Source organism: Homo sapiens, chromosome 8 (genome assembly GCF_000001405.40).
Source record: "Homo sapiens chromosome 8, GRCh38.p14 Primary Assembly".
NCBI lineage: Eukaryota > Metazoa > Chordata > Mammalia > Primates > Hominidae > Homo > Homo sapiens.
Window position 1 is genome coordinate 71,045,907 of NC_000008.11, and position 20,854 is coordinate 71,066,760.

General features: G+C 38.4%; 1 protein-coding gene and 1 long non-coding RNA gene across 2 annotated transcripts in view, besides 1 other annotated feature; both read left to right on the top strand.

Annotated features, from left to right (window-relative positions):
* Nucleotides 1-19,899, top strand: part of XKR9 (XK related 9) — a 396,467-nt gene extending 376,568 nt beyond the window's left edge. Inside the window, exon 5 of the mRNA XM_011517527.4 lies at nt 19,451-19,899. Coding sequence (XP_011515829.1) covers nt 19,451-19,542 — 92 coding nt within the window. The 3' untranslated portion in view covers nt 19,543-19,899. The remainder of the gene's footprint in view (nt 1-19,450) is intronic.
* On the top strand, nt 5,559-10,413 carry LOC124901960 (uncharacterized). Its single transcript, XR_007060961.1, has 2 exons — nt 5,559-9,202; nt 9,324-10,413. It is a non-coding gene; the product is annotated as an uncharacterized LOC124901960 (long non-coding RNA).
* Nucleotides 13,171-13,672: an enhancer, noted in NCBI's record as "NANOG hESC enhancer chr8:71971312-71971813 (GRCh37/hg19 assembly coordinates)". NCBI's record gives its function as "activates a minimal SCP1, AML or CMV promoter by ChIP-STARR-seq in primed H9 embryonic stem cells {active_cell/tissue: H9 hESC(primed)}" and the evidence as "EXISTENCE:reporter gene assay evidence [ECO:0000049][PMID:30033119]".
* Nucleotides 19,900-20,854: the final 955 nt, after the last annotated feature.

Here is a 20,854-nt window from a genome sequence, read left to right on the forward strand (position 1 = left end):
GAGGAAGGCTGCCACGTGGGAGTCGGGAGGAGATGGATTGGGAGTTCACTGAGGATACCCATGTATCCTCCAATAGATGAGAAATTGACCTGAGGGAGAGAAGAGCATAAAACTAAAGAAGAAGCAGTGTCTTGTGTTTCTTGTGACTTGTACTCCTACATGGACCTCTCCAAGCTCATGTAGCTACTGGCAAAGTGGATGTTCCATATTATAATCACTTTATATTTCTGAAAATAAAAACCAATATCTCACTATTTGGTAATATGGAATATAATTGTCACTACTTTTTGAAAGGCTATTAAATATTAGGGAACCTTAGCATTTCTTTAAATGGAAATGGATAGATTATTAATATCATTTCTTCCCAACAGCCGATATGAGCCCAAGTCTGAAAGGGCGGTGCAGGGGTAGCCAAGGCTCTCAAGGCTGCCGAGGGAGATTCCCCTTTGTGTGGACAGTATTTCAAGCAGCAGTGTCCCTTCTGTGCATACACTTCAGCTCTGTGTGGCCATGTCATTTGTCCTAACATTGCTTTTCAAATCAGGGACTTAATCTGCTTTCAGAGTGGATGTATGTTGTCCCTTCTCTCTAATCTGTAAACCCTGTAATGATTCAGTAGGTATCATTGTGCCTGTCTGATATATGACAAAATTGAGGCTCATAGGAGTCAAACAAATTGCTGAAGTGGGTGGCAAGTAGAGGCAGTGTTGATTTAGGCCCACATTCACATTTTTGTACAATTAGTTACCTGTATGGTTTTTTCTTAGAGCAAACTGATGCATCCCATTGTGGGTAGGAGTAAAAAACCTTAAGAGATCGACTCCTCAGGGAAATGAAATTGCTTCACTAAATGGAAGAATGCACCAATGGTGTTTTCTCAGATCGAGTGAATATGATTTAGTGGAGGAATAGCTATGTAACTACATTGTAAATCTGGTTCCTCAACTTGGTGTATGTTCAAGTTGTGGTTGACTCCTTTGAGTCCTCTTCATCTGTAACTTTGTATAAAAACTATAAAGATGACATTTTGGTCCTGAGAAAGAACATGGCCTCTAACATGAGGTCTGTTTTGTTATGAAGCAAGACTGCATGGGATTTACCACAAATATGAAGAAATATGAACCCAAGTTTGGTCTCTTGCTATGTCCATCTATTAGGATAATTGCATTGTTCTTGACGTTGTTAGATTTATATACAAACAAATGAAAAAGCTTTATGAGAATTATGCGTGGTTTGTCTCTTGTGCAAACACATCATTAACAGGAAAAGTTGTGGGAAAGAAGATTGGGTAAGAATAGAAAGTGATTCATACTTGGCTTTGAAACAGCTAAAGATTCTAGTGTCCTGTCTTGTTATTTGGCTGCCACGTGTTTGACTTTTACTTTCTAATTAAATTATAGACTCTGAAGACCATCACTTATTCCTTATTTGCACTCTCTGCTATGCCTTAGTGTAGTGCAAGACAGAGTAAAGGGTTCATCAAATAGTTTTTGCATCACAATATGTATTTACAGCTAACCTGGATCTTAATTCCTGCTAAGGCACATATCGTAAAACCACCTCCTCTGTGTCCATTTTATTTGGTTTCCAAAGTGATCATGTGTAGTAAATGAAGTTATCTTCTCATACTGCAAGTCTCAGACCAAATGTCAGTCTTTCCAGGAAGCATTTCCAGGCTCATCCCTTAGGTAATATGCAATCTCTCTGTGTTCTGTACATACTGAATTTGAGGCACTTATCTTTATTTTAAAAGTTATCTGACTTTGTTTTCCCTGTGGGCCTGTGAGCTCCTGCAGGGTTGGGATCACATTTTTCTCTGTACCCACAGCACCTTGTCTAGGTCCTATTTACTGCATAATCAGTGCTCAATAAATGTGTGCGAGTGACTGGTCCCCCAGTGCTTTTTAAAATGACTATTTGTATGCGGAAATCTACTCATTTGTATATGGAAGCACTTATTTTTAAATGGCCAAACTACCTCTGCAGTAACTTGGAGTTACTAAAAGCCATTAGCTTTGATTTAAACAATATGTGAGGTAACCCCCAAGTGGTAACTGTATAAATTAAATCCAAGTTTTCAGTATGACTGTATTACTGGGATATTACATATTCACATCTCTGTCAGTGCCTTCTAGAATGGAAGGAGCTTCCAACTTCCATGTGAGGGAGACACATTCCGTGTGTGAGGGAGTGACTGAAAAAAAATGGGAAGTCAACAGTTGTCTCCATGTTGTATAAATATGACATGATTTATTTGATTCTCATCTAAAACTGCTATGTAAAAGGCCTGTTGCTGTTTGACTTTTCTTTTTATACCTAACTTAAGTAATAAAACTACTTGAAAAAGTGCATTTCTCTCTTTCTCCCTCCTGTTCAGCCGCTGGTCTCTCAGTCTGTGGTTTTCTAATTCATTGTCACACCACATCGTTTAGAGCTGAGCCTCCCTTAGTCCTAGAAATGTTGACTCTCTTCTCTTTTTTTGCTTTTAAGGTAATAGAAATCTATTAATAATAGGTATATTTCATAATATAAATATTAAGATAGATAACGTCTTCTATTAGACATATTTGCTTATTTATAAAATTGCCTTCTAATGGATCTATTGTTGGTTCTGTGTTTAATAGTTATGAGGCATTTGATAATGATATATCATGGCTCTATTACAAAATATCTGGATGTTAACTTTGAATTGCCAAAATGGTTTTCTGAATTTGTATATGGTTCTGGCTTTTGGCCTGAAAGTCACAATATCACCATACAATTTTGATTCTTAGAATAAGTAAAATACATATTCCATATCCACATTCTAAGCATTGAGAGAAAAGATTTCTCTTTATTTATAATAAGTGAATCATCATAATTGCTAGTATTTTTCTGAAGCACGGCAATGGGATAAGTGCCACAGAGTTGTGTTGGTGCAGCTTTCTGTAGCTGAATTTATGAGTTACAACTCTTAATCCAAATGAAATACAATTTTTATTTGAGGTAGATCTGCAAGTGGGAGAATGACTATTAATTCTGCAATTCCAAAATAACTAATGTACTTGGTTTGAAGCCAGGTACACTCTGAGTTCTGGACTTAAGTGCTCATGTGGGAAATACAGAGGGAGACTTTAACATATGGATTCTCAGAAGAAAATGCAACTGTTCCATACAAGAAATATTGAGTTATTCTTAGTACTTTTTAATGTGTGGTTGACTATATATTTTTGAGTGGTGCCATTTTTAACACTTGGCAATTCAAGCCAAAGATCTTCATTTCCTGGGGTAATTTTAATAATTCACCCATTCATACAGCAAGCATTAAGTGAGGATTGATGGTATAACATTGTACTTGATTTGATGAGAAATGCGAGGAAAATAGAAACAAGATCTGTCTTCATTGAATTTACAATATTGGTAGAAAATAAAACACACATGCTTGAATGCACACACACACATATATATGTACACATATGCAACAAGTAGAAATCAAAATGGAACTGTATGCTGATGTATTAAAAATACTTCCTGACTCCCTACTACGCTATGACATAGGCAGAGGTTTTGCAGCACCTGCCTTTGAGGAACTAATAATCTGATGGTGAGGGGAAGGTAGACATGTGAAGTGATCCCAACACAGAGGAATGTGGTAAAAATCAAGGGACAAACCAACCATCTGAGTTGTCATCAGAGCTCTGTTAACATACACAGAAGTCCTGCCTGTGAGAATGGGGGAGAAGCTTCAGAGAAGAATGGAAGTCAGAAGGAGGCTCTGCAAAGAAAGTGTAGACAAGTTGGACTGTGTGTCCACACACACTGAGAGGGGATAAAGAAGGGAGGAGACTCGTGTGAGGTCAGAAGAGCCTCGTTTAAGGAACTGAGTTACATATAAGTTACATAAAGAGAGAAAAATGGGAGGGCCTCCCAGGCAAGAGAAACATCACAGGCGATGGTACAAGAGGTAGAAATATATACACAGAGGAGAGTAGTCCACTTAAATGAGTCCTTTTATTAAAATGATATAAAACAAGATGAATTTAGGGATGAACAGCATCTGACTGAAAGGTTGGGTCAAATGAGAAATAAATGAAAACTGTTTAAAAAATATAAAACATGTGGGTGCTAGTTATTCCAGATCGAGGCAGCATAGTATATTTGTTAAAAGCACAGACTGGATTTGAATCATGGCATCATTGTTCTCTGGCTGTGTGACCTTGGGCAAATTATTTAACCTTTCTGTGTCTCAGTGGGCTCATCTATAAAAAGGAAGAAGTAATAGTTTCTATGTCATAGGGTTGTTATATGGATTAAATGATTTTATATTTTGAAGTACTTATGCCTGGCAGAGATATATATATATATATATATATATAGATAGATAGATAGATATAGATATAGATATAGATATATATATAGATATAGATATAGATATAGATATATATGGCATATATACACATATACATGTAATAAACCTAGATAATAGAAAATTATTATGGATTCTTAAATGGGGAGATATAATAAAATCATATATGAGGAAGATTATCCTGGTAATGATATACGGGGAAGACTCAAATGAGGGAAATTTCTGAGCACTAGAAGATGAAATGGGACAAATATCATGGATATCTATCCGAATTAAGACAGCAGGAGCTTGGAGTAAGGTGGAGGAATACTAAGAGATTTGAATAGAAGATATGTTTCAAAGCAAGAAAGAACTGTCAGAACTTGGGGGGTGGATATGGGATGTGAGAAGTTGTAGCCAAAGATGACTCCAATGCTGAGGTTTTGAGAGGCTGGGAAAAGAGTGGTGCCATAGACAACACATGGGGGAAGTTATGCATGGATGGACCTCAAAGCGTAGTAAATGAAATCTACTGCACTTAGCCCGAATTTGTTGAAATAATAATAATCATTAGCTAGAATTTCATCATCCTTTGTGCTTTTGTGCAATTCTTTTGCCATCTGTTCTAGGAGCGATTCAGAATGTCAGTGCTTTTTGAACAGAAAGCAAATTCTAAAAGTAGAGATTTCTTATTTAAAAACATGTACTTCTCAAGCATTTAATTAAATTAAAAGTAAGACAATGATAGGGAAGAACTTAACATTCCAACCACTTAGAATTTAACTGAATAATGTTAAAAAATTATTTCAGTGGGGAATAAAAAAAAAAACTAATGAAACAAAACAAAAACTAGGTCAAGAAATGACCCCAAGGCAAAGTCTTAAATCTTAAAGGTCAACAGGTCAGTATACTTTAAAAACTGTAATTCTACTTCTTAATTCTTCAATGGGCTTACTGTGTCATGTTAAGGTTATTCACTCCCATATACCATAGCCCATAATGTCACTCGAGGTATCCTTATGGCTTCTCCAGGTATTAAAGAAGCTTGATATGTTTTTGTTTCATTAATCTTTTCTCAGAGGCCAGTGATTAGTTCATCTGACTCCTTTCCATCAAGTTTAACATTTTTTTCAATTAAAAACTCATCTCTACAGATGGTATTAGCATTAAGAGAGGCCTTTTCTGTTGAAAACAACAAATATTGAGATATTTTAGGAATTGTTCTATAAATCACTGGAAGTAGAATTGACTTCAAGTTTTCATGGTTTGTTGTTGCTGGTGGCGGTGGTGGTGGTGGGGTGTGTGTGTGTGTGTGTGTGTGTGTAAGTGAGCAAAAGTTGAGCTGATGAGAATTTGGCCCATATGGTTTATTGTTTCTAGAATGGATCAGTTTCATCCCAGTGCCTGGGCAATTTTGTTGCACATTAATGTGAAATATTGTAAATGTTTTTACCAAGCTATCAACTATGAAATACTTTATCCAAAACATTATGATTACAAAGGCGATAATAGAAACAGCTTAAACCAGGAGAAAATGCTCTGTTAAAGAGGATTAGAAAGACCATTTATTGAATAGTATGGATTTCTTCCAAGCCCCTGTGTGCAGAAAGCATGCAATGCGTGAATAATTCATCTAGAAATTCTATCGTGAAGTTGTATCAGTTTCCACAGTAAAACCTGGCCATGGAGGAGGAAAATACATCAACATCTGTGACAAGCTCTATGAGGAGACAGTGGCAAAGCCTTTCAGGCACCAGGAGCAAAGCAAAATATAATAAATTCACTTAAGTGTCAAATTTGTGTCGGCTAAATAATGACACCATATGTCTGGGTTGCTATGTCACCATAGGCTGCTCTGAAAAAACACATTGCTTTATAGAAATGGCTGTCAGCTCAGGGAAGAAAGCTTGCGGGCTACTGCCTTTCTATCAAAGAAAACAGAGATTGCCCAATGAATGCAGCATCCAATGATCAATACAATGATTGTTGTTATTGTGTTGTTTTTTCTTAATATGTCAGCAGTTAGAGTGAGCCTGCTGTTTAGACTTAGACATGTATAGTTAGAGAGGCTGTCTTAGTTGCACTGTCCTTCAACTGAGTTGGGGTAAGGCTTTGAAATCCCCGACAGTGGGCCTGCTGCATGGGCGTTAATGATGCAACTTGTCTTTATATGGTTTTCTGAGGAACTCTCCTCAGGGCACTTCGTAGACACTATCTCATTACTCTTCACAGCACCCCCAGGAGGAATCCAGGACTCTGACATTATTTTCCTCCAGGGTAACTGAGGCATAGAAAGATTATGGTCACATTAGCCCATAGGAGGCATGATTCTGCCGCCCACTCAGCGTTTCTTGCTCCAGGCAGTCAGTATTCAAGCAGGCATGCAGACAGTCTTTATAGGAAGGAGGATTTGCCTTGTCTCCTGGGCATTTCTCTCCTTTCTGCTGGCATGCATAGTGCTGGCTGGGTGCCTGCTTCATGGCTGCTTCACCACTCCAAAGGCACAGTACCTAGGTTCAGCTGCCCTGTGAGTGGTCATCCCGCAGATTGCGCACTGTGATGCTGGTTCCAGAGGCTTCATGCTTGCATACAGGCCCCATGGCAGGCTGATCATGTCGTGTGTAACTGCTCTGAACAGGCTGGGACTCTGGAGAGCACCTGTCTGCCATGCAAAGGAATCAGTAACCCTGTCTCAGCTTCACACAGCCAGCCTTGACTGTGCCTCAGTTTTTCATCACAATTAGTCCAATGGTACTTAAAAGAGATTGTGGCAAAGATAAATCATGTGGGAGGGGTTATGTTTAACTTTAATCACAAAGGTATAGGTAAGAGCTAGGAAATTGTGCAAATGGATCTATTATAAGGAAAATTGCCTTCCGTATATATTAGTTGTTCATGACAGCCTTCCAAAGAATTTAAAAACCCTAAATTAACTTCTAAACAATAACCATTTTAGGAGTGGTTCCAACAGAATGGTGCATATCTGAATCATTTGGAGAGTTTTGTGTGTGCACACAGGCATGCCCTCAGACATACTGAGTCATTGGATCCGGAGTATAGCCTGGGAGTAGAGATTCTAAAACCCCAGGTGAATCTGATGTGAAGTCAATGATTCTTCAGAAGGCTGCACAGGCCCTAGTTTCTCTCCTTCTGACACTGGGAAGTATAAAACATCAAGTGCAAAGTGAAACAGATAAAAAAGAATTGTGGTTTCCTGACCTGACAGAGGTGTTTTCCATTCAGCAGTGTAATATTAGGAAATGGAGAAGATCATATAAATGCCGCAGTTCAGACTGAATCTGAAAAATGGAGTTTGAAACATGTAAAAGAAGTCTGGGGCAACCATAACCAGGATGTTTCTGATTGACACCTACTCCCTCATCCTAGTCCCATCTGAGTTTGTGGTAAGTAATACCTTTCTCTGTTGGCTGTTTTAGCTTTCCTTGAAACCAGTCAAAGGACAGAGGTTATTCAGTTGAAAGATGGCCACAAATTCACAGGTAAAGTCTGTTTCTCCACTCCTTTGAACTTGGGCTGAGCTGGTGACTGCTTTGATTAGTGGAACACAGGGAAGTGATGCTGTGTCAGTTTTTGGCCTAAGCTTTTGGGAATACTGGCTGCATATGCTTCTCCTCTCTTAGAACACTAGCTCTGAGTTTGCTTCCTCTTGAAACCCAGCTGCCAAGCTAATAAGTGCACGAATCACATAGAGAGCTTGTTTTCAGGCATTTTGTTCAACAGTCTCAGCTAAGTTCCTGGCCAAGAGCCAATATCAACTGTCAGGCATGAAAGTGAACCATCTTGGACATTCCAGCTCAGTTGAACCCCAGATAACTGCAGCCCCAATCAGCATCACATGGAGCAGAAGTACCACCCAGCTAAGCCCAATCAAAACAAAGAATCACAAAAATTAACAGTATGGTTGGTGCTTTAAGCCAGTAAATATCAGGAGGCTTTCATGCAGCAATAGATAACTAAAACAAAGTGTCAGTGTATTTCCCAGTCCATACTAGTCTGAAGGTAAAAAAAAAATGGATCACAATTACAATTTCAAAATAGTATTTTTGGCTGTATTTTCACCTATTTTGTGGGAACTTCAGTGTCCTCATGTTCTTCCCACGTAATTTCTCTAAGGAGTGTCTAGAATGTATGATCTGGGAACCAATCCTTTTGGCCACCATGTAGCACTGCTGTTTTAAAATTTTCACTCTGATAACATCTCTGCTCTGAGGTGATGCCTGTTTTTCTCTGCTGACACTAAGGGTAGGAGCCTGCTCTGTCTCCCAAAGCACCACTTCTGTAAATGGCCTCAATGACTGTGCTAAGCTTGTCAATGCCCCCAGATGTGTATTAAGGTGCCATTTCCATTACTCATGAGGCTACTGGTGCCATTATAGCTGCTGCTGCTGCTCTGTTTGTAAGGTCCCAGGGGCATTTTAGGAAACAGTTCATTATTGTAACTAGTGACATAAGTGCCCATATCCTTATACTTAATATATGTTTTTTTCAATTGAACTAAAGGGTTAAGTCATACTCCTTGGATTCTTTATTATTTTTTGGTGGGAGGATTCAAAAGATCTAAATTAAGCAACTCTGCGCAGGTGTTGCTAAAGTTGAAACATTTAGTTTACCAAGAAACTGACTAGACAAATTGTTACCTAAGAGTATCCAGCTGGGGATGTTTCTCAATCAGACTTTCCTCAGCAGGAATTAATGCTATATTTGGGTGAGCTAAAGTATTTGACTTCCTTTCTAGTCTCTGAACAATACAAGAAGAAGATAAAATATTTTTTTCTCTAGACTTCAAGGATAACCTTAATGATGTCCCAGCCTAACAAATAGGAAAGAAGAAACAAAGATTGAAAAATCAGAGAACAGGTTTTAATCTTTAATATACTCATTAGGTAGATGTTTGGGATTACATTTATGACACCAATATATTGGGATTATTTATGTGAAATACTTATATGTACCCACTTCCTTTTTGTCTGTTCTGAAGGTGCTGTGTCTCCCTCCAAGATTAAAGTTGAAACAGATGGAAGGTATTTGAAGTATAGGATCATTGGTTGAAAATACAAGGATATATACAAATTCAGTGAGATAGGAAGATGGGTGAACAAGAGGGAATACATAAACACTGAGCAAGAGGAAATCAGTATGATACCATCAATTGTCTTGTGAGATTATGTTGCAGAACAGCTTCATTCCCTTGTATGTGGTTTTGGAAGATGGGAGAGAAGGAGAATGTCTATGTTTCTTGGGCTTCTAGGCATCAAGAGATTAATGAGAAAAAGAAGGGACCATTATGCCTGAAACAGAACCCTCTTTGATGTTCTCCTTTGAAAACCTAAGAGAAATAAAAGCAGAAAAGGATTCTACTGATTACTACTTCCTACAGTAATATGGTGATTGAACACTGATTAATCCTCCCCGACATTGATGCATTTTCACTGTTATGAAACATCTTAGAAAAATTGAAAAGTCAAAAAAAATAGATTCTTTCCTTGCTGTTTTAACTGAAAATTAAAGTTTGGGGGCCCATCTTCACAAAGTTAAATGCTAATATTGGAGGATTATTGCTAAATATTTCTAAAAGTAATTGTTTGAGTTCTTCTGAATTATATTAAACTCAATAATTTTCATAGTAGAGTATGAATAGATCCTTGCTTAGTTAACTTGGCTCTTTTTCCTAATAATGAACATCTGGTTAAATTCTAATATACAAATATGAAGGAATTCTATTTTTTGGAGTTGCAGTTCTAGGAGTGCATTTGACACTTGGAACTCTCTTTAACCTGCCAAAAGATGGTCTGATAACTTTCAAATTTTGAGACTCACTTTGTCAGACACACTGGCAAGAGGCCTACATTTAAGGAGTAGACCTTATGGAAGTAGAGCCCCTTAGCCAATTTGGAAGATTTTAAATTTTTGTTGGAACAATGAAGTTTATTTCTAAACTCTTTCACCACATGTTATAAATATTAACAATGAAGGTAATGTGGGTGGTGGAGATCTTATTTTTTTTTTTTTGGAATGGGGATTTCAATATTGGCTGAGATGATAATAAAGTCATTCACTGAGAAACAGAACAGGAGGTTGTTCTAATTTTACATTTGCCTTATTTTTCATGAAGGAAAAAGGAATAAAAAACTTCAGCATGGTAATCAAGTTTATAGAGGCAATATTAATGGCTATAATGGGTTAGGCCAAATTACTCAAGTATTTATAGTTTGAAATTTTGAGGAGGCACTGCTTAGTAATTAAGAATGCAGGATCTATGGTCATATGGCCTGGGCTTAAGCAATAGCACTGCACTTACAAGCTGTGTGAACTTGAGGCATATAGAAGTTAAGCAACTTGCCCAGTTTTCTCACCCTAATGCCTGCTAGAATCAGTCACAGTACTTAACTCATGAAATAGTTGTGAAGATTTCTTCTAGTTCTTGGTGCAATATCTGAGAAAAAATACTAAGTGCTCTGTAACTATTAGTTATTGCTATCATTATTGTTGAATAGACAAAATTTCCCATGAACAAATTTATTCACTCAGGGAGAAAAAGAAAAAATAATTTATTGTTATTATTAATAAAAAATAATTTATTTCTCCATATCTTTTAGATATTGGGAAATGAGATGGGGAAATTGAGAGGATTTCCCCAATTATGCATTTGACTTTAATAAGTTATTCCTTAAATGAGAATCTTACTTATTATCCTGAATATGTTGGCAAATGGTTTCAACTCCTTTTATGCCACTTCCTGAGTAGATACTGGGCTAAAACACCTCTTCCACCTTGCTGGCCATGAAAGATCCTCTAGAGTCCCCTTCATTTTATTATTGAACCAAAATTGTTCTGATGGGAAAGATGTTCCATCAGCACAAGGAGCATTTGTGGCTACAGAGCATCTTGCCTGTACTCTTGGCTGGTATTGTGGGAAAACTTCACACAACAGTCAGGCATAGCAAGACACAGTTCCACATTGGGGAGCAAGGTCAGAAAATGTCACTTTCTGAAGGTGAATACAAGAAGAGAGCACACTATGGATGAGCATGTCATTTGTTCATCCACAGAACTGTCATCTGTGCATCCATGTCATCTGCTCATCCACTAGACTCCTTCTGAGTGGAGTCTAATTTGTATGTTGCCCAAGAAGCATTGTATTTTCCAGTTGTCATAGAGAAGATGCAGGCTGTCTCCCAAATTCAATCAAAGGCCCTGGACATTCTCCCTAAGTCCTGTTAAAGTCATTAGAGTATTTTGTAGTACTTTGTTTTTTCAGGAAAAGAATGCTGTTTTCTATTCAATACATGTTGATTACATACTTAAAAGGTTATTGCCTTATCATTAAGGGGTGGTGATGATATATCTCAATTCTAGAAAAACACCAGGGGGCTAATTTATCACAGTGTCAGAACTGAGCAAATAACATTCCCTCCTATCCACTCTGAGAATTGTTCCTGGAAATGGAATTGGAGTTGGGTAGCACATGTTACCACTGCTTGGTGGTACATCCTATTAGCATTGTGTGACACTGAACTCACCAAGCTGCCCTTTAAATATAATTTAGATTCCCACATAACATTTTCTCCAGAGGAAAGAATGATCTGGTCATGCCCAAGAGCCACTCTGAGCCTTTGGGAGTTATATTTATCACTGTAAATTAATAAATTGGGGCCATGCGCGGTGGCTTATGCCCGTAATCCCAATACTTTGGGAGGCCGAGGTGGATGGATCACGAGATCAGATCGAGACCATCCTGGCTAACACAGTGAAACCCCATCTCTACTGAAAATACAAAAAATTAGCCGGGTGTGGTGGCGGGCGCCTGTAGTCCCAACTACTCGAGAGGCTGAGGCAGGAGAATGGCGTGAACCCGGGAGGCGGAGCTTGCAGTGAGCCGAGATCGCGCCACTGCACTCCAGCCTGGGCAACAGCGAGACTCCGTCTCAAAAAAAAAATAAAATTTAATAAATCGGTATTTTAAATCAGTTTTGTGGGTATTTGGCCAATGTCAGTCTATAGAAGCTGATCACTCTGGGTCAGTTGAAAAAACAAGCAAGATTAGAGTGTTGCATTTGCAGAGCTGAGCCTAGCTACAGTGGACCTTTCAGGATGCAGCCAAGTAGGGTTAGTCTGGGACAGTCACTACCTCTGTTTGACTTTGCCCACCTGCAGCAAGGGACTAGAAGATCATGGAGATTAATCCTCCCTTTCCTCCACTCTCCATCTACAGAGCCAGATATTACCACATTCCCATTAGTCTAGGCAATATTCTGATTTTTCATCAATTGACAGAGAGTGGGAAGAAAGCAATAAGATTGACTAAGAAATTAGTGAGTGTAAGAACTGAGATCCTGTGAGGTCTCCTAATCTTAGCTCCAATTATGACATCACTGGTGCAGCATCATTGAAGACACTTGACTTGGGCTATAGTTTGTTGGCCCTAATCCAATTCTATCAAAAACTGAAGATGAATGTTTATTTCTTACATCTCAAATTCTTGTCACATATCCAGAAAAGTACATTATCCAAAAGTCATCACTCTGATGGTTTAAAATGTGTTTTACTCAATGGGGTGATACAAGACTGGCTGGTGAGGGACAGGTCTTAGAGCTGCAGAAAAGTGAAATAGAATAAACATAGGCTAATATTTAAATGCATCCTCATCTCTGTGCCATTTGTTCTTCAACATTTGAATCTTCATGTGGTTATAAACACTCTTATCCTAGAAGAAATAAACTAATTGCCAAATAAACTAAAAATGAAGTTTTAATTAGACACATCCTGTTTGTTCTCATAAAATCCAAAGGAAACGTCAACTGTATTTTGCCTTTCCTGTTTGACTTAACTCATTGAGAAATATGGTTAATGAAAATTCAAATACCTTTTGAAAACCAGTTTTAAATGATTAATACTTTTCTGTGCCTTAAAAGGCAGGAATAAAGCCAACCAAAACAAAACCTTGGAGTGTCAACCTTTGTTGACAGAAGCTGCCCTCTGCTTTACCTGTGGAAAATAGCAGCACACTGTCACAGAATGTGCCCTCAGGCGCCAAACCTGCAGTCTCAGAAACCACTAACAAGGTGATTTCTTTTTACTGACACTCCCTTCCCCTTTGCCAGAAGTGTAAAGAAGATGAGCTACCTCATAAACTCCCGAAGTTATGAGCTACCTTTGCTCCTCCTGAAGTCACAAGTTCTTTGTTTATCTTTTCTTTTTGAACCCTGGGAAAAGTATATCAAAGTGATTCGTCCTGCCAAAAGTTTGTGCACTTAGGAACTGGCGCTGTGACAAATGCCTGCAGAGAAGAGAAAAGATTTCTGTGTTTCTTAGTGCTATTCTCTCCCTTGAGATGTTTCCAGAAACTTGAAAGGAGGGTTGTGCCTAGAAACTGATTAAACTTGCTCACATTAAAACTGAAAGTCAGTGTGAAGGACCGGCTCTCTCTGCTTCCACTCCCCGCCCAGTAACCCAGGTAACTGGGATCACTTATCATAGAAGTTAGAGCTGGAAAAGACCAGTCCAGCACCTCCCCTACCCTGTACCCTTTTACCTGGAGAGGGGAGGATCGTTCCTGTGGTCTCCATTGTTTAGTCTGGTTGCATTTTAAAACTTGCTTTGGGAAGAGAGAGTCCCAAATTTTCTTTGGGAGTTTTCTCCATAGATGAAATCTTAAGAAACTTGTTCTGCTAGTAAGTTGAAGATTTCTTTTGGTTAGGCTCATCCCATTTTTTTTGAGACAGTTCTTGCCTCCTCTGTGCTTTGTGGTCTTAGGAAATTATTCAGTTCTCCAGTTTCTCCACATCTGAAGAGGGAAATTGTATCATCATTAAAATACTGTTTGGAAAACACTAGATTGCTGGGACCATAGAGAGTGTTTAAATCATTCGCTCCATGACTAGTTACATGTGGCCTCAACATTTCTTCAGATACCTCCAGTTTTTCCAAATCTAAAGACAGTATTTGTGGATGTTGAAGTTGGCCTGTTCTTTTGTGGAGATGCTGGGCCCAGAACCTAGGGAATAATCTGGGCCCTGTGGCCTATTCTAGACCCTGAGCTGAATGGAACTATCTGACAGAAGTCCTTGACCAAGTTGACAGAGCCAGTAACATTTTTAGGGAGCGTTACCTCCACATCCAAGGCTACTCTACTTCCAGGCTCCTCCAGGTGCGGGTGTCCTCATCCCTTTACAGTGCTTATCTTCACTCACCCACCCTGAAATTGTCCCCTTGGAAAGCATTCGCTGAACCAACAAAACTGCTGAGCTATTGGCTGGGTACCCCTCCTTGTGGCTACCTCAGGGCATTTACATATAACAGTGAATACTGCCTTTAAACTGCTTTTCTAACTCCAGAATTCCAGATGCCTGGACAGAAATGGCAATTAGGGGACATTTCTTTTTTTATTTGTGGAGACATTGAGGAGAGGAGGGCCTCTCACAACCCTTCAAATGGCATGCCCTAGAAAAAAAACAACAGACAATATCTGAGAGCCAATTGATAAATTTATTTAATTTAATCTTTATTTCTACCCCAGTTAGGGAAGTACCCTTGTTGTTCCTATTTTATGAATAAACAAACTAAATCTTGGGGAGTTTAAGCAACTTGGTCAAGACCACATGGTTAGTAAGAGACAAAATTTTGTTTGCACTTACGTAGTCTGACTCCAATTTATGATTCTAAATCACCACGTAGTTCTAGTAGTGGTAATAGTAGTGTTACTAATCACCCAGCAAACATCTATTGAGGGCGTATGTACCAGGCACTGTAATAAGCCTTTCATATGTGTTATCCTGTTTAATCTTCAGAATCATCCCATGAGGTAGGTAGTTTTAATATGTCCTTTTTATATATACAAGTAAAATGAGGCACAAAGAAGCAAAGGTTAAATTCATTCATGGTTATCTTATTCAAGGTGATGGTCAAGGTTACATACTAGTAAGTTGCAGAGCTGTGGATTCAAACCCAAGCAGACTGACTCTAGTGTCTGTGCTCTTCCTACATCCCTGCCTTTCTTGAGGGCTCTCCATCTTTATTCCCATAGAGACAGAAGTGGCCCTGCCATCATAGTGGCTATCATGACATACGGGCCTTCGGACATTACTTTAGACACTGGTCCTCTCATAACTTACTCCAGAACCCATAGGAGGCAGCAAGATGACAGAGCAGTGTTCCAGCCTTACCCATCAATTCCCAGTACCATCTGGCCCATCATCTCTGTGCTCTCTTATTAATAATTACACATATTCCAGGTGGAACCAAATATATCTCCCTTTAGTTTCTTGTCTCCTGTTACATATGCAAAACAATGATCTCAAAGTTCACCAAATGGTTTCTTTCAAAAAGCCTTCTGAATTGACACTACTGTAGACAATGCTAAAGAGAAAGGGTGTTTTCATTAGACAGACAGAGAGAGAAAGAGAGAGAGAGAAATGGCAGAGCAGGAGATTCTAGCCTGAAAATCAGCTGAGATATAGAGGCTAAGTGTCTGTATCCCAAGGGAGTGAGAAGCCACCCAGGAGAGCCATTGGTCTGAGGGAAGAAGGAATCAGGAAAGACCTCTCTCAGTAATACAGCTTGGCCAGTAGTTGGGAAGGTGGGATGACAATTCTGAGTACATCCTAGTATATTTAGGGTGCTATGCATAAAAATGTAAAGAACTCTTATAGTCATCGCTCTGTGACACTGCAGCATGTTATGATTACTGCTTGATTACTCTTAGAGACAAAAGAAGCATTATCCATTTCCCAGGCATTTAGCATTCTTGAATTATTTGTGTTCCTTTGGCCAATGTAGTTGGTTCAGGGATGACCACAGAATCCAACCGGAACCAGTCCTTGGTCTTTGGCAAAAGCAACTGGTAGGAAGAAGAGCTTATTTTCTCAGGCATTTACATCTGCGATGATAGAGCCTCTGGCTGTTGGTGGCCATTTTGCCGTCACAGGATGCCTGCAAATGTAGCCATCGTGAAGAACAACAGATCTAAGGGAAAGAGTTTCATAGTCTATTCAGGATGCTATAAGAAAATACCATCGACTGGGTGGCTTTATTTTAATGATTTTAATTTATTTCTCACTGTTCCAGAGACTGGGAAGTCCAAGACCAAGGTGTCAAGAGATTGAGTGTCTGGTTGGAGCTCACTTCCTGCATGGCTTTTTGTTGTAACCTCACATGATGGAAGGGACAAGAGATCTCTCTGGAGTCTCTTTTATAGGGCTCCACCCTCATGACATAATCACCTCCCAAAGGCCCCACCTCCTAATACCTTGCGGGTTGAGATTTCCACATACAAATCTGGCGGGAGCAGGGAGACACAAACATTCAGTCCCTAGCACAGAGAGAGACATCATTTGAGCCTCTGGGTTAATATATTTTCCTGCTTAAGCCAGTTGGGTTTTGGTTTTCCAAGCTTTCCCACACAAAATTTCCACAGTGGAGTTGATAGTGACAAATTGGGTCTTTTTTCAGTCAGATTTGTCAGGGAAAACCTCTCAGAGCATCTGGAAGGCTATGGAGCAAGGTGTTAATAGTGCACCATTTCTCGGGGGCAGGATTAGGAATGATTTTTTTCTAATACCTTTTTTAAGAAACACTTATTTCTTTGTTAATAGGAAAATATTACATATACAGTTTCAACATTTTCTAAAATTGAGAGGCAGTCCATTGATTACACTGCTTCTTTGTCTCCGGCCCCTCTGTATTCGAGCTATAAGCCGTACATTTACTCCCTAAACTCCCAGGGATAATTTGTGAGAGCTTGCAGATGTATTCTTGCACTTACACACACCTCATTTGTCTTCCTGCTATAAGGTAAGTTTAGTCTTCTTTCCTGTAACTTGGTTTAGCATCTTTGCTAATCTAATGTGTTTCCAAATTCTCTAATCTTGATAGGTCAATTCCAGAGTTATTTGTCAAATAAAATAATAAATTTATTGTGATAACTGCAAACTGGAAGATGATGATGACTAATAGTTTCCAGAGGCAAGATGGTGTTCCCCAAAGAGTCTGGGGTGAGGAGAGTACAAGTGTGTGAACAGATTTGTTTCCCTGGCATATTCACCTCCTGCTCAAACACACACTTGTACCATTCACACGAGAAGTAAAATGGGAAGCTTTATTTGAAAAATCCCTCAGGTAGGGGAGAGCCTCCACTTAAACCCAGGGTCATATTTGTCATCTATCTGGCTGTTGTACTTCTGGGTAGGAGCAAGAATTCTGCATGTGGGTTGAGAAGTGTGGGGCCCTTAAAATGACTGAATTTACTAGCTTCTCTGAATTGGCTTCCTGTATTTCATCTTGGGGAAAAAAATTCAGAGCAAGTGACAAAAAAAAAAAGAGAAAGAAAAGAAAAAAACTATTTCTGGCTTTATGAATACCCCCAAAGGGGAAGGTTTTTAACCTTTTGAAAAATATTTCAAACCAAAACCTAAAGAGAATGTGTGTGTGCTCCTGTGTGCTTTCCACAAAAAAAAATCTGCTTTTAATGTTAGTTGCATGTGAACTAAATTCTCCTGAAGGTGCATTTTTGCATTAACCATGGATCACAAGATGAATAATGCTAGCTATTGAAATCAAACTGGCCCATCTGACTCAAAACAAAGTTGTTTTCAATTCTAAAAAATAGACATAGTTAGGGTTGGTTCAGATTTACTGATCAATGTATACTCACCTAACAGCAGTTATGGGAAGAACGGGGTATGTATTTCTCTAAACAGATATATGTGTATCTTTTACCTTGTGTCTTCTTTTATGGGTCATTCATACACAATTTAGTAGTTACACTCTATTAACTAAAACACTAATAATATTTTGCTTCCAAGATTTTTGGTAACTTTATAACATATTCTATTATTTTCCTTATACATTTTTAGACATATCTTTAGACATAAAATCTTTAGAGATAAAAGTATAGAGATGAGTGTCATGAACTACCATATACCCATCATTGAGATTTAATGTGTATTTGCTTAATTTTTTGAAGTACTTGAAAATCACAGATCTATAACATTTCACTCTTGAATATTAGCTTCCACATGCATCTCTAAAATAATTCTTCTTCTATAATAATACTACTACTGTCATCACACCTATAAAAATTAATAATACCAGTAAATATGTTATAAAGTTTTTTTAACTTTAAGTAATAGTGAAAATATTTTATATATTGAGTTTTTATGTTTATGCCCAGAATGATCTAGAAATTTATATCATTGTCAACAGACAATAGTTTTGCTTTTTATATCTGGTAAAATATTGATACCACGTATGGAATGAAACATTTCTTGTGTTCAATTTTAGAGGTTTCAATGAAAAGCTCATTGAATGAATCTGCATTAGTTTTTTCTCCCACATTCTTTAACATAGTGTTTTCTTGTTCAAAATACATGTGCTTTTGGCACCGTGAATAATCATTTATTCCTTTATGGTTTTTTTAAGGACTTGATGGCTTAGTGTGAGAACAGCTGAATCTCCTCTCAAGCCATATTCCTGGTGCATATGCGAACAGATGACATATTAAGCTGTTTCCATTCTATAGGGTTCAAGTCACTAATGTGTTAGATAGCCAAGGGAAAGAATTGCAATATTAGACTTTCATAGAAGGTCTCTCTAAGGACTTTTTAGAAGCCTTGTGTTTTGCAGTGTCTATAGATGTGTTATAAAGACAGCTATTAAATGACCAACACTGAAGGTCATCTTGGACGCTGGGAAAGAGCTCTAGAGTATGAATAAAACTTGCCTCTCAGTAGCTATATGACCTTGGGCCAGCCAACTGAGGCTTCTCTAAACCTCAGTTGTTCAATTTGTTAAGTGGAACAAATCACAAAGTTATTAAATAACTTTTAAATAAGACATAAAAAATTGAATAAGATATAAGAAGAAAGCATTTTGAGAAGTTATAAATACTCTTTATTGACAAAACATAGGGGGTGTGATGTGGACTGAATTGTGTTCCCCAAAATTTCATATATTGGAGTCCTAACCCCCAATGTGACTGCATTTGGAGATAGGAATTTTAGCAGGTAGTTAAGGTTAAGTGAGGTAAGAGTGGGGTTCTAATCTGACAGGATTGGTGGCCTTATAAGAAGAAGAGGAAATTATTCCCTCTCTTTCTCTGATTATGCACAGATGAAAGGCCACGTGAGGACACAACAAGATATCAGTCACCTGCAAACCCCAAAGAGAGCCCCTACCAGATCTGGACCGTGCTTACATCCTGATCTCAGACCTCCAGCTTCCTGAACTGTGAGAAAATTAACATGTGTTGTTTAAGCCACCCAGGCTATGGTATTTTGTTACGGCAGCCCAAGCTGATCAATACAGGGTGTGAGGTGGCTTCCTCTCTATTTAAACTAAAAGAGAATAAAGACAATAGTTTACTTTGTAGTATGTGGAAAGTAAGTTACACATAATGCAGCATGTAGAGAAAGAATGTTGGTCTAGAATGATGGTATTGAGCTTCTAATCTTGCTTCAGTCATCTGTCTGTGTGATCTTGTCTTGGGCAAGCTGTAAAAGATGGAAGCCTGTGGGGCATCTTAGTTTCCCAATTTCCAAAATAAAGAGATTTCAGCAAAATGTTTTTTCAAGGTCTTACTCCTTCTCCTTGAAGGTTCATTTGATTTCCATAATCATTTTTTCTCTCCCTTGATTAAACAATGAAAAATGAAACACTTGAGGACTATCTAGGGTTGTGGAGGTGTGTACCTTTTAAATTATGCTGAACCTCATCTGTCTGGGATAATACATGCAATTTACCTGGGCAGTAGACCTGCTAATTTCTCTCTGGTGTTTCCTCAAGCCATCAGGTTTTCTGGTACTTGATCTTTATTTTTAATAGCTTATAGATAGAGATAATACATTTTTTGAATTCAATAGACAGTTCTAGTGATATTATTAATCCAAATAAAAGTATGCTAAACCTTACTTTACACTTTGAGAAAACCTTTTGCTTATTTCGAACTTGGCCTTGTCACAGTGATTTTGGATGCACACATATGCATGCACACACCAGCCTCTCTCCCCAACACACACTATAGTGGGTTCAGTGACCCCTCCAGAGATATTTTCACTGGGAAGTTGTGAAGGTGACCTTATTGGGAATATGGCCTTTGCAGATGTAATTAATTAAGAATCTTGAGATGAGATTATCCTAGATTATCCAGGTGAGCCCTAAATCCAATGACATGTCTTATAAGAGACAGAAGAGAAGACACTGAAGGGCAGAGGGCTATGTGAAGACGGAGGCAATGATTGAAGTGATACAGCCACAAGAAGCTGGAAGAGGCCAACAAACAGTTCTCCTCTGGAGCCTTTAGAGGAAGCGCATCCCTGCTAACATCTTGATTTCATATATCAGGCCTCTAGAACAGTGAGAAAATAAATTTCCATTGTAAGCCACACAGTTTGTGGTAGTTTGTTGTGATCACTCTAGGAAACTAATATACATACTCTTTTTTTTTCTATACTTTCTTATATACCATTTCCCATCAGATGCATTAACTAGATTTAAACGATTTTGCAGCTTACAGAA